This window comes from Homo sapiens, chromosome 19, assembly GCF_000001405.40.
Source record: "Homo sapiens chromosome 19, GRCh38.p14 Primary Assembly".
Lineage (NCBI taxonomy): Eukaryota > Metazoa > Chordata > Mammalia > Primates > Hominidae > Homo > Homo sapiens.
In genome coordinates, this window is record NC_000019.10 from 1,464,199 (window position 1) to 1,479,257 (window position 15,059).

Consider the following 15,059-nt stretch of genomic DNA (forward strand, 5'->3'; position numbering starts at 1 on the left):
CTTGGGAGGCTAAGGCAGGAGACTCGCTTGAACCCAGGAGGTGGAGGTTGCAGTGAGCGGAGATCATGCCACTGCACTCCAGCCTGGGTAACAAGAGTGAAACTCCATCTCAGAAAAAAAAAAATTATTAAAATAAAAATGTTGTTAAATAAGAAATATTAAAATAAAAATATTTACATGTTATTTATGAAAACACAAAATATTATTTTTACCTGGTCATCGTGGCTCACGCCTGTAATCCCAGCCCTTTGGGAGGCTGAGGCGGTTAGATTGCTTGAGCCCAGGAGTTGGAGGCTGCAGTGAGCCATGATTGCACCACTGCACTCCAGGCTGTACGACAGAGCGAAACTTTCTCTCAGAAAAGATAGATATAGACAGAATCTATCTAAGTATACCCCAGATACCACATAGGATATGTGCATGCTGTTTTTTCCTTTTTTTTTTTTTTTTTTTGAGATGGATTCTTGGTCTCTTGCCAGGCTGGAGTGCAGTGGCGCGATCTCGGCTCACTGCAGCCTCTACCTCCCGGGTTCAAGCAGTGCTCGTGCCTCGGCCTCCCGGGTGGCTGGGATTACAGGTGCTCGCCACCACACCCAGCTAATTTTTGTATTTTTAAGAGAGAGAGGGTTTCACCATGTTGGCCAGGATGGTCTCGATCTCCTGACCTCAGGGGATCCACCCCACTTGGCCTACCAAAGTACTGGGATTACAGGTGTGATCCACTGCACCCGGCCTACCTTTTTTTTTTTTTTAACTCCATCTCAAAAAAATAAAAATAAAATAATTTAGTCTCTGTCATGCAATCTTTGGGATATACTTATACCAAAAATTAGTCTTTCCAAGATCCAAACCTAACCAGATGCGTTTACTTTTACCTGCCACATCTGGCCCCCCCATCCTTCGGTGGGCAGGGGAGGGTGGGGGGTGGCCCAGGCTAACCCGCCCTGTGCCTACAGGCAGGTGCTCCGGGATCACAACTGTCTGCAGACGCTGCTGCAGCATCTGACTTCGCACAGCCTGACCATCGTGAGCAACGCGTGCGGCACGCTCTGGAACCTGTCGGCCCGCAGCGCCCGTGACCAGGAGCTGCTGTGGGACCTGGGCGCCGTGGGCATGCTGCGTAATCTGGTGCACTCCAAGCACAAGATGATCGCCATGGGCAGCGCCGCCGCCCTGCGCAACCTGCTGGCCCATCGGCCCGCCAAGCACCAGGCGGCCGCCACCGCCGTGTCCCCAGGCAGCTGCGTGCCCAGCCTGTACGTGCGCAAGCAGCGGGCGCTGGAGGCCGAGCTGGACGCACGGCACCTCGCGCAGGCGCTGGAGCACCTGGAGAAGCAGGGCCCGCCGGCAGCCGAGGCCGCCACTAAGAAGCCGCTGCCGCCCCTGCGACACCTGGACGGCCTGGCCCAAGACTATGCTTCCGATTCGGGCTGCTTTGACGACGACGATGCACCGTCATCCCTGGCTGCGGCCGCGGCCACCGGGGAGCCAGCCAGCCCTGCCGCGCTGTCCCTCTTCCTGGGCAGCCCCTTCCTGCAGGGGCAGGCGCTGGCTCGCACCCCGCCCACCCGCCGAGGCGGCAAGGAGGCAGAGAAGGACACCAGTGGGGAGGCAGCCGTGGCGGCCAAGGCCAAGGCCAAGCTGGCGCTTGCAGTGGCGCGCATCGACCAGCTGGTGGAGGACATCTCCGCCCTGCACACCTCGTCCGACGATAGCTTCAGCCTCAGCTCTGGAGACCCGGGACAGGAGGCGCCACGGGAGGGCCGCGCCCAGTCCTGCTCGCCATGCCGCGGCCCGGAGGGCGGGCGGCGAGAGGCAGGAAGCCGGGCGCACCCGCTGCTGCGGCTCAAGGCGGCCCACGCCAGCCTCTCCAACGACAGCCTCAACAGCGGCAGTGCCAGCGACGGGTACTGCCCACGCGAACATATGCTGCCCTGCCCGCTGGCCGCACTGGCTTCGCGCCGCGAGGACCCCAGGTGTGGGCAGCCTCGGCCCAGCCGGCTTGACCTTGACCTGCCCGGCTGCCAGGCCGAGCCCCCGGCCCGCGAGGCCACCTCCGCCGACGCCCGCGTGCGCACCATCAAGCTGTCGCCTACCTATCAGCACGTGCCACTGCTTGAGGGTGCCTCAAGGGCGGGTGCAGAGCCCCTCGCGGGGCCTGGAATCTCTCCAGGGGCCCGGAAGCAGGCCTGGCTGCCGGCAGACCACCTGAGCAAGGTTCCCGAGAAGCTGGCGGCTGCCCCGCTGTCTGTGGCCAGCAAGGCACTGCAGAAACTGGCGGCGCAAGAGGGGCCACTCTCGCTGTCCCGATGCAGCTCCCTTTCCTCGCTGTCCTCGGCCGGCCGCCCAGGCCCCAGCGAGGGTGGTGACCTGGATGACAGTGACTCCTCCCTGGAGGGGCTGGAGGAGGCCGGCCCCAGCGAGGCTGAGCTGGACAGCACGTGGCGGGCGCCCGGGGCCACCTCGCTGCCCGTAGCCATTCCGGCTCCCCGGCGTAACCGAGGCCGGGGCCTGGGGGTGGAAGACGCCACGCCGTCCAGCTCGTCGGAGAACTACGTGCAGGAGACACCGCTTGTGCTGAGCCGCTGCAGCTCTGTGAGCTCGCTGGGCAGCTTCGAGAGCCCGTCCATCGCCAGCTCCATCCCCAGTGAACCTTGCAGCGGGCAGGGCAGCGGCACCATCAGCCCTAGCGAGCTGCCCGACAGCCCCGGACAGACCATGCCTCCCAGCCGGAGCAAGACGCCACCGCTGGCGCCCGCGCCACAGGGTCCCCCCGAGGCCACCCAGTTCAGCCTGCAGTGGGAGAGCTACGTGAAGCGCTTCCTGGACATCGCCGACTGCCGGGAGCGCTGCCGGCTGCCATCTGAGCTGGACGCAGGCAGCGTGCGCTTTACCGTGGAGAAGCCAGACGAGAACTTCTCGTGCGCCTCCAGCCTCAGCGCGCTGGCCTTGCACGAGCACTACGTGCAGCAGGACGTGGAGCTGCGGCTGCTGCCCTCGGCCTGCCCCGAGCGCGGCGGGGGCGCCGGGGGCGCCGGCCTCCACTTTGCAGGGCACCGGCGGCGGGAGGAGGGGCCGGCGCCCACGGGTTCTCGCCCTCGCGGCGCCGCGGACCAGGAGCTGGAACTGCTGCGGGAGTGCCTGGGAGCCGCCGTGCCTGCCCGGCTGCGCAAGGTGGCCTCCGCGCTGGTGCCAGGTCGCCGCGCACTCCCCGTGCCCGTCTACATGTTGGTGCCCGCCCCGGCCCCGGCCCAGGAGGACGACTCCTGCACTGACTCCGCGGAGGGCACGCCGGTCAACTTCTCTAGCGCCGCCTCGCTCAGCGACGAGACGCTGCAGGGACCCCCCAGGGACCAGCCCGGGGGACCAGCGGGCAGGCAAAGACCCACCGGCCGCCCCACCTCTGCCAGACAGGCCATGGGGCACCGGCACAAGGCGGGAGGCGCCGGCCGCAGCGCGGAGCAGTCTCGGGGCGCGGGCAAGAACAGAGCAGGGCTGGAGCTGCCCCTGGGCCGGCCCCCGAGCGCCCCCGCAGACAAGGACGGCTCAAAGCCCGGCCGGACCCGCGGGGACGGGGCGCTCCAGTCGCTGTGCCTCACGACGCCCACTGAGGAGGCCGTGTACTGCTTCTACGGCAACGACTCGGACGAGGAGCCCCCGGCGGCCGCGCCCACGCCAACCCACCGGCGCACATCGGCCATCCCTCGCGCTTTTACGCGGGAGCGTCCGCAGGGCCGGAAGGAGGCCCCTGCCCCGTCCAAGGCTGCACCAGCTGCCCCGCCGCCCGCCCGGACCCAGCCCAGCCTCATTGCTGACGAGACCCCGCCCTGCTACTCCCTGAGCTCCTCCGCCAGCTCCCTCAGCGAGCCCGAGCCCTCGGAGCCGCCGGCCGTCCATCCACGAGGCCGGGAGCCCGCGGTCACCAAGGACCCGGGCCCAGGAGGCGGACGCGACAGCTCGCCCAGCCCGCGGGCCGCGGAGGAGCTTCTGCAGCGGTGCATCAGCTCGGCCCTGCCCAGGCGCCGGCCCCCCGTGTCTGGCCTGCGGCGCCGCAAGCCCCGAGCCACCCGGCTGGATGAGCGGCCCGCAGAGGGGTCCCGGGAACGCGGCGAGGAGGCAGCGGGCTCGGACCGGGCCTCCGACCTGGATAGCGTGGAGTGGCGCGCCATCCAGGAGGGCGCCAATTCAATTGTCACGTGGCTGCACCAGGCAGCAGCTGCCACGCGGGAGGCCTCGTCCGAGTCCGACTCCATCCTGTCCTTCGTATCCGGGCTGTCAGTGGGATCCACCCTACAGCCCCCCAAGCACAGGAAGGGACGACAGGCGGAGGGAGAAATGGGCAGTGCCCGGCGGCCAGAGAAAAGGGGCGCAGCCTCAGTCAAGACCAGCGGGAGCCCCCGTTCCCCTGCAGGCCCCGAGAAGCCACGTGGCACACAGAAGACCACGCCCGGGGTGCCAGCTGTGCTCCGGGGACGAACAGTGATCTACGTCCCCAGCCCGGCACCCCGTGCCCAGCCCAAAGGGACCCCCGGCCCCCGCGCCACACCGCGGAAGGTGGCGCCCCCTTGCCTGGCACAGCCCGCGGCTCCAGCCAAAGTCCCGAGCCCCGGGCAGCAGCGGTCGCGGAGCCTACACCGGCCTGCCAAGACCTCGGAGCTGGCGACGCTGAGCCAGCCCCCCAGAAGCGCCACACCGCCCGCCCGCCTCGCCAAGACCCCCTCCTCCAGCTCCTCCCAGACCTCGCCCGCCTCCCAGCCCCTGCCCAGAAAGCGCCCCCCGGTCACCCAGGCTGCTGGGGCCCTGCCCGGCCCCGGAGCCTCCCCGGTGCCCAAAACGCCGGCGCGCACCCTTCTGGCGAAGCAGCACAAGACGCAGAGATCGCCCGTGCGGATCCCGTTCATGCAGAGGCCGGCCCGGCGTGGGCCGCCACCGCTGGCTCGGGCAGTCCCGGAGCCGGGCCCCAGGGGCCGGGCGGGGACCGAGGCGGGCCCGGGGGCGCGCGGGGGCCGCCTGGGCCTGGTGCGTGTGGCCTCAGCCCTCTCCAGCGGCAGCGAGTCCTCCGACCGCTCGGGCTTCCGGCGACAGCTAACCTTCATCAAGGAGTCGCCGGGCTTGCGGCGCCGCCGCTCCGAGCTGTCCTCGGCCGAGTCCGCGGCCTCTGCCCCCCAGGGCGCCTCGCCCCGCCGCGGCCGGCCCGCGCTGCCCGCCGTCTTCCTCTGCTCCTCGCGCTGCGAAGAGCTCCGAGCGGCACCCCGGCAGGGCCCGGCCCCGGCCCGGCAGCGGCCCCCCGCGGCCCGACCCAGCCCTGGCGAGCGCCCTGCCCGGCGCACCACCTCCGAGAGCCCGTCCCGCCTGCCTGTGCGCGCGCCCGCCGCCCGGCCGGAGACTGTCAAGCGCTACGCGTCGCTGCCGCACATCAGCGTGGCCCGCAGGCCCGACGGCGCCGTCCCCGCGGCCCCTGCCTCAGCCGACGCCGCGCGCCGCAGCAGCGACGGGGAGCCCCGGCCGCTCCCCAGGGTGGCCGCGCCGGGCACGACCTGGCGGCGCATCCGAGATGAGGACGTGCCCCACATCCTGCGCAGCACGCTTCCCGCCACGGCCCTGCCACTGCGGGGCTCCACGCCCGAGGACGCCCCGGCCGGGCCCCCGCCGCGCAAGACCAGCGACGCCGTGGTCCAGACCGAGGAGGTCGCCGCCCCCAAGACCAACTCCAGCACGTCCCCGAGCCTGGAGACCAGGGAGCCCCCCGGGGCCCCCGCCGGCGGCCAGCTCTCCCTCCTCGGCAGCGACGTGGACGGTCCCAGCCTCGCCAAGGCTCCCATCTCCGCACCCTTCGTGCACGAGGGCCTGGGGGTCGCCGTGGGGGGCTTCCCCGCCAGCCGGCACGGCTCCCCCAGCCGCTCGGCCCGAGTACCCCCCTTCAACTATGTGCCCAGCCCCATGGTGGTCGCAGCCACCACCGACTCGGCCGCGGAGAAAGCCCCGGCCACTGCCTCCGCCACCCTCCTGGAATAGTGGCCTAGGCCGGCCTTCTGGAACGTTCTCTCCCGGCCCTGCGGCGCGGTCTGGCTGCCCCATGGGCCTGCGCTGTAGACGTCCCCCATAGGTCGCCCCAGGGCCTCTGCCCACCCGAGCCCCACCACTCTCAGAACCCCCGCCCAGCGCACGGCGACCTCGCGCCTCACCGGAAGACCTTGCCTCTGTGCCGCGGAGGTCCAGGAGGAAACGGGGCGGCCGCTAGGCCTCAAGTCCCGACCGTGGAGCGCTGGCAAGGGCGTCCTGGCCCAGCCCTGAGCGCGCGGCCCTTCCCCTGTCGGAAGCCGTTGCTTGACCCCGGGCGAGGGAGGCGGTAGCCTCCGGGTCCGGGTCTGGGTCTGGGTCCGCTGCTTCGCAGGGACAGCGCTGGGGAGGTGACGGCGCCCGCCGCAGGTGGGGCGAGGCTGGGGGAGGGCGGCGCCGCGGCGGGCCTGCCAGCTGGGGGCCTTTGCGGCGCGCAGGGGCGAAGCCTGTAATCACTGCAGCCGCCGGTAATTCGCTAATGAGGGCTTTGCAGGGATTGTTTTCATTCTCAGCCCCAGCTGTGGGAGTGCGGGTGGGGGTGTGGCCGAGCCCCGGCAGGAAGCCCCGCCCAGACGGTGTTCAGGGAACCCGGAGCCCAAGCGCTCCGGCGGAGCCCAAAAGGGTGGGGGTGGGAGGGGCAGAGGCCAACGGATCCCCCTGCCTGTCGCACCCCTTGGCGGGAGACGGGAAGGCAGCGGGCTGCGTACGATGGGACCCTGGTGCAGACGCCGGGCCGGCTGACATTTGGACCCCATCCCAGAGGAGATGCTGGCTACCAGCTGGGGCGACCCCAAGGGTCGCTGGAGTCAGTATCGGCCCGGCGCAGCCGCGGCGGGCGAGGCCAATGGAAAGGAGACTGAGGGGAGTCCCGGCAGTGAGCCCGAGGCCCTGGGACCTGGAGCCCGCGCTGGCCTCTCCCCAGCGGAGCCTGCACGTTACGGAGACCATCACATGTGGGCGTGGTCAGTGCCCAGGACCGCACCGCTGCTCATCTTGTCCCTTTTCAATTCCCTTCTGGTTCATGATGCATAAAGCGCTAGGCCCTAGAACTCCAGAAACAGCACAGCTGGGGCGGGGACCCAGCCTTGCCCTCCACCCGAGGCTCTGGGACAAGGCGGGAGGTTCGGGGGCCTTCCGGCAGGTGAACGCAGGGCTGGAGAGTATTTGGTGCCAGATGAGGTGAAAGCTTATAGAAGGGCCTGAGGGGCTCGGCTGCCTCATCCCCTGGCGGGGGAGGCTGGGAGCTGGGCCTCCTGCGTGGGGTGGGACTCGCAGGGGCCGGGTCTCCGTGACTGGGGCAACGCCTCGTCCTGCAGAGGGAGCCGACGACCTCTTTTCTGCAGAAAAGCTCCAGCAGGCGCTGCCTTCACCCACGGATCTGCCCAGGCTGAAGGCACACGCTCAATGCCCCACGTGCCTTCTCCAGGAGGAACGAAGCAGGGTTTGAGGGTTGGGTGGATGGAGCTCAGAAGGAAACCCCAGCCCCACCACGGATGACACCATCCCTCCCGTCCCATCCCCAGCATGGGCAAGGCCAGCCTTTCTGGCAGAAGGAGCTGTCCTCAACTCAGGGCCGCTGTGAGCAAAGCTGACCCCAGCCCCCACCCCCAGTTAACACTGCTGCTTCTCTGAATGCATGTCACGCTGCACCCCATGCTCCGGGCCCACACCCTGCAGGACAAGGAGCTCCAGACAGGACGTCCATAAGTCACCGAGGTGTGCCACCCAGCAGGTGCTGGAGGTGCCCAATGCTCCCTCCTAGGACCTCGCAGCCAGGCAAGGCTGTCAGGTTGTTTTGGGGGAAGAGGGGGTCATGGATGGCTGAGCAGAGAGCGGGGAAAATGCAGGCTGAGTGGGGCGACCTCCTGCCTGCCAGGAGCCCCCTTTCAGGACACAGCGGGGGTCTCACACTTGCTGTCCCCATCCATGGCCCGAGGGGGAACCTGGTGGTCTCTTCTGAGCTTTTGGACTTGGGGATGCCAAACACGTGCTCACCCTCACACTCGCCCCGGCCCGCTGCGCCCCTAATTGCCAAAGGGTAGGGAAATGGCGAAGCCAGCCACCAGGTCGCTGGTGACAGGGCCAGGGTTATGCAGGAAGGTGGTGCGGCATTGCCTTCCACATATGTAAGTCTCTGGGCGGCGCCCTCCCAGCTCCCTGCCTCTGTTTCCCCATGTGGGCCGTGGGGAACTCCCAGAGCTACCTCTTGGGGGAGCGTGGTGGCAGCGATGATGGGGAGACGCCTGGAAGCTCACAGAACTTGGGTCTGGCTGGCTCCTGCCCGTGACGCCTTGCCCAGCAGCAAGGTGCGCAACATGGCTGCCAGCCCCGCCTCCCACCCCCACCCCGAGTCCTGAGCTCACTTTCGCCTTCTCCATCCCCTGCCGTGGGGGCCACAGCCACACCTCACCGCCCAGTCCAGCTGTCTCCAGAAGGGGACAGGCAGTCCGCGGTCTCTGGACAATCAACTCAAGGTACGCCCACTGCAAGGCCTCCCTCCCACCGCGGCCCCTGCCTGGCCACCTGGCCTCTCTGCACCAGGGTGACAAGGGGTCCTCGTCTGCCCCCCAATGCTCCAGGGCCAGTCCTAAGGAGCTGAGGGTCTGAGGACGCAGGGAGGGTGGAGGTGTCCTGAGGCTGATGGACAGTGACCGCCACTGGCCCCCAACATGACCACACGTGGGTGCTGAACTCGGGGCGCCGTGCCCACCGGCATGGTCCTCCCGAGCTCCGACAGCATTACCTCACCCGGCCCCATCTGTTGCCCCGGTCCAGCCCTGATGGCGCGCGCCTGGTCTGTCTGATTCCCCTAGCCGCCACCCCACGTTTCTGTACCGGGTCTCTGCAGTGTTAAACGGACGTGTAAATAGTGGTAAATAGTGAAAGCCTGTCCTTCCCTAAATGTAAAGCCATCTGTCCGGCGTAAGGACGACACCGTCAGCTGTCCGACTCGCACACATTTAATAAACTGAGCTCTTGCATTGCCTGCCGCCATCACCTCTTCCTCAAAATGGGCTGTGGGCGGGTAGGTTCATCGCTGTCTATGTGCTGCCACAGAATTGCTGAGACCCCCCAGGTTAGATCCCTGGAAGCAGAGCCAGAAAGCAGAAACTGGGGGCACAGGGTTTGTGGGCACCCCACCCAGATGGGCCGGGGAGGCACTGGCTGAGGCCAGGAGTCTCCCCCTGGTCCCAAGGGAGGGCAGGCTCCAGGGGGTGCACAGCACCCCAGACAGGGGGTCCAACCTGGGCATTGGTACCTGGGCCAGTTATTATGGCAGGCCCCAGTGTGGGGCAGGAGGCACCCATGAGCCACTAGGAGCTGTGGCTGGTGCAACAGCTGGGATGGGGCAGCCACAGCAGCCACTACCGGGGAGAGTCAATGGTGGACAGGGGCTGCGGGAGCTGGGACGGCCCCACGTCAAAGCCACTTCAGGGAGCACAGCCCTGGCCCAGCTGGGGGGACAAGGAAAGCTATGACTGCAAGCAGCACAGAAGTGCAGGGTGGGAAGGGATGGCAGGAGCCGGCCCCCTCCCCACCTTCCACCCTGGGACACTGCCGGGACCTCCCTCGGCCAGGTGAGCAGCTTCAGAAGCATGACCAGTGAGAAGTCCCTAGGGCCCAGGCCGGGCTAGCCAAGTCCCAGTTTCTGGATGAGGCGCCTCCCAGGCTGTGTGTGGCAGGCCCCCTTTCTTCAGGGAATAAGAAACATCTTCCACATTCAAGAAACAAAGCTGGCTGTGGGTCTGGAGAGAGGGTGAGGCAGCCCCAGGTCTCTGGGTCAGGCGGACGGTCCCTGCATGCAGTGCCCGGCAGGACTGAGCAGGGTTCCCGGGGTCGCCGGTACCCATCCCTCCCCAGCTTCCGGGGCCCCGGGACGGAGCCGCTCACAGAGGCACCATTCAGACGGCCAGACACACACGAAAGCTTTATGTGCAGGGCCCAGCCTCTGGGCCGCCTTGCCCAGGTTTCCACTCAAGTTGCTATTTAGGATGAAAAGCCTTTGGCAAGACCCTCCGCCGCACTAACGCCCCCTCCCCCAGGGCCAGAACCCGCAGGGAAGCAGGCCCAGGACCTGCTGCAGCTGGCAGGGTGGCTATGAGACTCAGGACACCCTGGGCTCCTGGCCAGTGACTCACAGCGGTCCTCCAGCAAGGGCAGTGGCTGGGAGACACCCGTGCCGTGGAGCTAGGCCCAGCCTGGCTGGGTCTCAGGGCTGCTTCTCTTGGGTGACCCCAGCGGCCCAGGGTCGTTGTGAAGATCAACGTGGCTTGTGGGAGGAGCCCGGGGCCCAGAAGGAAGTGGGGTCAGGGGCTCAGGCTGGCCCTCGGGCTGCTCTGACATTGGGTGGGCACTCGCTGGATGGAATCACAGTTAACACCTCGATCCCAACACCTGGACTCAGAAGTGGACAGGCGAGTGCCTGCCCCGGGAGAGGAAGGAGGTGGCACCTGCTCCCAGGGGCCCCACTGCAGAGCACGGCCACTGTGAGCTGACGACAGAATCACAGTACAGCAATAATGTCCCTATCCTCTTCCAGAACCCCAGTGGGGCCCTCAGGTCACGCAGGACGGAGCCAGCTGGGTGGGTCCCACCAACTCGGCATGAATGAGACGACGGATGAACCGCAGCCCCAGCATCAGGAGGGGCGCCTGTGTCAACACCCACGTGGGCTGGGACCCCGTGAATGCCAGTCTGGGGCCGACGGACCCCCAGGGAAAGCCTGGGTGCAGGCCACCTTGTGCGCTGCCCAAGCCTGCAGGCCCCGAGAGGTCAGCCTGAGGAGGCAGCCTCGGCTGCCGGTAATGCTGCCTGCTTCATCTGGGCCACCTCCCGCTCCAGGTCCTCGCCGGCTCGCTGCAGGAGCTCACACCTCTGCCTCAGCACGTTGCCCGCCTGCTGCAGCCGCTGGTTGGCAGCCACGTAGGCCCGGCTTTGCTGGTAGAGCTGCTCTCCCGGGGCCTCCGCATCCTCCATCATCCTGAAGGGAACTGGGGGGTCTGAGACAGGACACAGCAGCATCACTGCCTGCTGACCACCCCATCCTCCTGGGCACCCCTCACTACTGCCCCCAAAGGGCAGGGTTCCCTGCAGTCCCCGAGTGAGCTTGCCAGCCGGGGTCTTCTTAACATGACGGATGCAGCCAGGTGTGGTGGCTCACGCCTGTAATCCAGCACTTTGGGAGGCCGAGGCGGGAGGAACACTTGAGCCCAAGAGTTAGAGACCAGCCTGGACAACATAGTGACACCCCCATCTCTACCAAAAAATACAAATACAAAAATTAGCTGGGCGTGGTAGCACGCATCTGTGGTCCCTACTTCTCTGGAGGCAGAGGCAGGAGGATCGCTTGAGACTGGGAGGCCGAGGCTGCAATAAGCTATGATCGTGCCACGGTACTCCAGCCTGGGTGACAGAATGAGACCCTGTCTCAAAAATAAATAAAAACAAAAATCAAGTAATGGAGGCTTCCTCGTCCATCAGCTGGGAGAGGCACAGTGGCTGGGTGGCAGGAGGGGCTTCCAGCTCTAGGCTACCCGCCTTAGCAAAGCGTGTGACCAGGGGGATCGGGTCACAGAAAGAGCTCAAGCCTCGCCAGCAGTGGCCCTCCTGGGGGCGGGGCTTCCATTCCTGCAAAAGCCGTGGCACCCACCGGGATGGACTCCACTGAGCTGGCCTGGCTCTCATTCCTGCTGTCTCTGGAAGCCAGAGACGCAACAAGCCCGCCACCGAAAACCTCTCCAGGGGCCGTGCAACCTCCTGGAGCACACACTTAGGGAGGCAGGGGTGGCGAAGGTGAGAGGTGGGCATTGACGTCCTGGTGACTCCCACATTCAGCAGAAACTACGTATGGCTCCCTGCTCCCCCACGTATGCAAGCCCAGTGCAGCAGGGCTGAAGCAGCACCGACTTCAGGGTCACTCAGAGAAGCGTCAGGGGCCCCTCGGCTCTGGCCTGCCCCTCGGCAGTGTGGTCTCCCACGGACGAAGGCTCCACGTGCCGCACGGGTCTGGGCTGATCAAATCACCTCTGTCATCACCTGCTTTAGCAACAGGGTGGGAAAGGCCGGGCAGTGCCTGGATGAAGGCACAGGAGGCCCCCTACCTTCTGTGAGCGCCCCCCGTCCCCCGCACAGCGTGCCTCAGTTTCGCCACACTCAACGGCCATGGACCTGAGCCCATGAAGCTCAAACCACGGCCCCAGCACCCTCAGGTGACCGAACTGCATGCTGGGAATAAAACCAACTCATGCACCTTGACCAGTACCGGCCCACAGAACCTTCCAGATGATGCGCACACCTCCCACCGATGCTGGTCCACACCAGCCACCAGCCATGTGTGGCTCCTGGGCACTTGAAATATGTCTAAAGGGAAAACACAACTCAATTTTTCTCTTTTTTTCTTTTTCAGAGACAGGGTCTCACTCTGTCACTCAGGCTGGAGACTCCAACTCCTGGGCGCAAGCAACCCTCCTGCCTCAGCCTCCTGAGTAGCTAAGACCACAGGTGCATGCCACCACACCCAGCTAGTTTGTGTATTTTTGGTAGATATAGGTTTTGCTATGCTGCCAAGGCTGGTCTTGAACTCCTGGCCTCAAGTCATCCTCCTGCCTCAGCCTCCCAAAGTCCTGGGATTACAGGCATGAGCCACTGCACCTGGCCCCAGAATTTTCTAATATTACTTTTTAAAAATGTTCCCTTAGAAATTCACAGTTTCTATCATTCCACATGGCTCATTTTCTTTTTTCTTTTTTTTTTTTGTTTGAGATAGAGTCTTGCTCTGTCACCCAGGCTGGAGTACAGTGGCACGATCTCAGCTCACTGCAACCTCCGCCTCCTGGGTTCAAGCAATTCTCCTGCCTCAGCCTCCCAAGTAGCAGGGATTACAGGCATGCGCCACCATGCCCAGCTAATGTTTTTGTATTCTCAGTAGAGACGGGGTTTCACCATGTTGGCCAGGGTGGCCTTGAACTCCTGACCTCAAATGATCCGCCCACCTCAGCCACCCAAAGTGCTGGGATTACAGGTGTGAGCCACCGCACCTGGCCGATTCATCTTCATTTGTTTCCCGCCAGCCCCAGAACAGCCTGGGGCAGACATTCTTGTTTCTTTTGTTCACTTGTCCATTAGCAGTGCTCTAAGCGCAGAGCCCAGCACACAGGAAGTGCTCAAGAAAAGGATTGTTGAATGAATGAATGAGCCTCATCCAGAACACAAAATTCACCCAACTGCACTGCTGAATCCTTTGGTCTCTGACTAGCTTCCACCTCGTAAATCAGGAGTGGACAAGCTTTCCTGCCAAAGGCTGGAGTCTCTGCTCCCACTACTCAACTCTGCCCTTCTGGTGTGAGAGCAGCCACTAACCGTATGTGAATCATTTGGCTGTGTGCCGTAAACCTTTACTTACCAACACTGAAATCTGAATTTCATACCTCTTTCAGGTGTCAGAAATGTTCTTTTTCACCCACCCCCATTTAAAAATGTGAAGTCCATTCATAGCTCCCAGACCTTAAAAAAACAGCCAGGGGCAGGGTTTGGGGGGCCCTAGCTTACCACCTCTGTTTTACTTTATTTATTTCTATTTATTAATTATTATTATAATTATTGAAACAGAGTCTCACTGTGGTCCAGGCTGGAGTGCAGTTGCGTGATCTCAGCTCACTGCAACCTCCGACTCCCAGGTTCAAGTGATTCTCCTGCCTCAGTCTCCTGAGTGGCTGGGATTACAGGCCCATGCCACCACACCCGGCTAATTTTTGTATTTTTAGTAGAGACAAGGTTCCACCATGTTGGCCAGGCTGGTGTCCAACCTCTGACCTCAAGTGATCCACCCACCTCGGCCTCCCAAAGTGCTGGGATTATAGGCGTGAGCCACCGCACCGGCCACTTATTTATTTTTGAGACACAGTCTGGCTGTGTTGCCTAGGCTGTATCCTCCCACTTTAGCCTCCAAGAAGCTGGGGCTACAAGTGTCCACCACCACACCCAGTAATTTTTTTTTTTTTTTGAGACAGTCTCGCACTGTCACCTGGGCTGGAGTGCAGTGGTGCGATCTCGGCTCACTGCAAACTCTGCATCCCGGGTTCAAGCGATTCTCCTGCCTCAGCCTCCCGAGTAGCTGAGATTACAGGCGCCTGCCACTATGCCCAGCTAACTCTGTTTTGTTTTTGTTTTTGTTTTTGTTTTGTTTTTTCATTTTTAGCAGAGACGGGGTTTCACCATGTTGGCCAGGCTGGTCTCGAACTCCTGGGCTCAAGCGATCCTCCCGCCTCATCCTCCGAAAGTGCTGGGCTTACAGGCCTGAACCACAGCGCCCGGCCTCCACCCCTGTCAGAAGAACCCTCTGAAAATCGGTCCCACTCTACGGAGGAGTAGAGGGAGACTCGGAGAGGATACGGACCGTGCCCATGTTGCGGGGGTTCCCAGGGCGTGGGGTCAGGAGTTAGGGGTGTGCTTCTCTCCCGTCCCCTTGCTGCCGGGGTCTCAGGTCCGCTTTTCCCCGGGACCGGGCTCCCCCTACCTTCCGGGGCCAGGATGGTGAACACTGGATCCTCTGCCGGCGCACCCCGCACATCCTCCAGGATCTGCTCCACCGTGGGGGGCGCTGGGCGGGTGGGCAGCAGCACGCGCTTCTTTGCCTTGGAGCCCATCTCTGAAGGCGGGGAAGGGGGCGCTGACCGGGGCGTCCACCTCTCCGCCCTTGCCCGGGCTGCTCCTCCCGCCCAGCGAACTCGTACGCACCCGTCGCGGTCCCGCTCCCGGGGAAGCCCGCCCTGTCCCGCCCCTCTGAGCTCGCCCCAGGCCCTGACCCTCCCTCCGCCCAAAAACACGGTGGCCAAGGCTTCAGGGTCTGGCTCAACCTCTGCCTCAGTTTCCCCGCGGTCACCCCAGTCGCCGGCCTCTTCCCACCTGGGCGCGGGACCCGAAAGCCCAGCGTCGACGACGCAGCCACTTCCGATTCCGGTCGGAGCACCGCCCCGTCCCCGAACACGTGACACACACTT

The 15,059-nt window shown here is 64.5% G+C and overlaps 2 protein-coding genes across 11 annotated transcripts in view, besides 5 other annotated features; one reads left to right on the forward strand and one right to left on the reverse strand.

Moving 5' to 3' along the window:
* APC2 (APC regulator of Wnt signaling pathway 2) overlaps nucleotides 1-9,046 on the forward strand; it is a 27,015-nt gene extending 17,969 nt beyond the window's left edge. For all 9 annotated transcript variants that reach the window (XM_005259475.3, XM_006722607.3, NM_005883.3 and 6 more), the window contains one exon: nucleotides 957-9,046. In XM_005259475.3, coding sequence (XP_005259532.1) covers nucleotides 957-6,015 — 5,059 coding nt within the window. In that variant the 3' untranslated portion in view covers nucleotides 6,016-9,046. The remainder of the gene's footprint in view (nucleotides 1-956) is intronic.
* Nucleotides 4,801-4,980: a silencer, noted in NCBI's record as "silent region_9718". NCBI's record gives its function as "represses an Ori minimal core promoter by ATAC-STARR-seq in GM12878 lymphoblastoid cells {active_cell/tissue: GM12878}" and the evidence as "EXISTENCE:reporter gene assay evidence [ECO:0000049][PMID:35858748]".
* Nucleotides 5,291-5,340: a silencer, noted in NCBI's record as "silent region_9719". NCBI's record gives its function as "represses an Ori minimal core promoter by ATAC-STARR-seq in GM12878 lymphoblastoid cells {active_cell/tissue: GM12878}" and the evidence as "EXISTENCE:reporter gene assay evidence [ECO:0000049][PMID:35858748]".
* Nucleotides 6,393-6,532: a silencer, noted in NCBI's record as "silent region_9720". NCBI's record gives its function as "represses an Ori minimal core promoter by ATAC-STARR-seq in GM12878 lymphoblastoid cells {active_cell/tissue: GM12878}" and the evidence as "EXISTENCE:reporter gene assay evidence [ECO:0000049][PMID:35858748]".
* On the reverse strand, nucleotides 9,003-15,017 carry C19orf25 (chromosome 19 open reading frame 25). 2 transcript variants are annotated; one of them, NM_152482.3, is made up of 3 exons: nucleotides 14,965-15,017; nucleotides 14,576-14,707; nucleotides 9,003-11,060 (listed from the first exon to the last, which is right to left on the reverse strand). In NM_152482.3, exons 2-3 carry the CDS (start codon nucleotides 14,703-14,705, stop codon nucleotides 10,834-10,836), a joined length of 357 nt encoding a protein of 118 aa, NP_689695.2. In that variant the 5' UTR covers nucleotides 14,706-14,707; nucleotides 14,965-15,017; the 3' UTR covers nucleotides 9,003-10,833. The 2 variants fall into 2 exon arrangements, with proteins under 2 accessions (NP_689695.2, XP_006722716.1); XM_006722653.4 differs by having other exon boundaries at nucleotides 14,942-15,017.
* Nucleotides 14,202-14,702: an enhancer, noted in NCBI's record as "H3K4me1 hESC enhancer chr19:1478399-1478899 (GRCh37/hg19 assembly coordinates)". NCBI's record gives its function as "activates a minimal SCP1, AML or CMV promoter by ChIP-STARR-seq in naive H9 embryonic stem cells {active_cell/tissue: H9 hESC(naive)}" and the evidence as "EXISTENCE:reporter gene assay evidence [ECO:0000049][PMID:30033119]".
* Nucleotides 14,794-14,843: a silencer, noted in NCBI's record as "silent region_9721". NCBI's record gives its function as "represses an Ori minimal core promoter by ATAC-STARR-seq in GM12878 lymphoblastoid cells {active_cell/tissue: GM12878}" and the evidence as "EXISTENCE:reporter gene assay evidence [ECO:0000049][PMID:35858748]".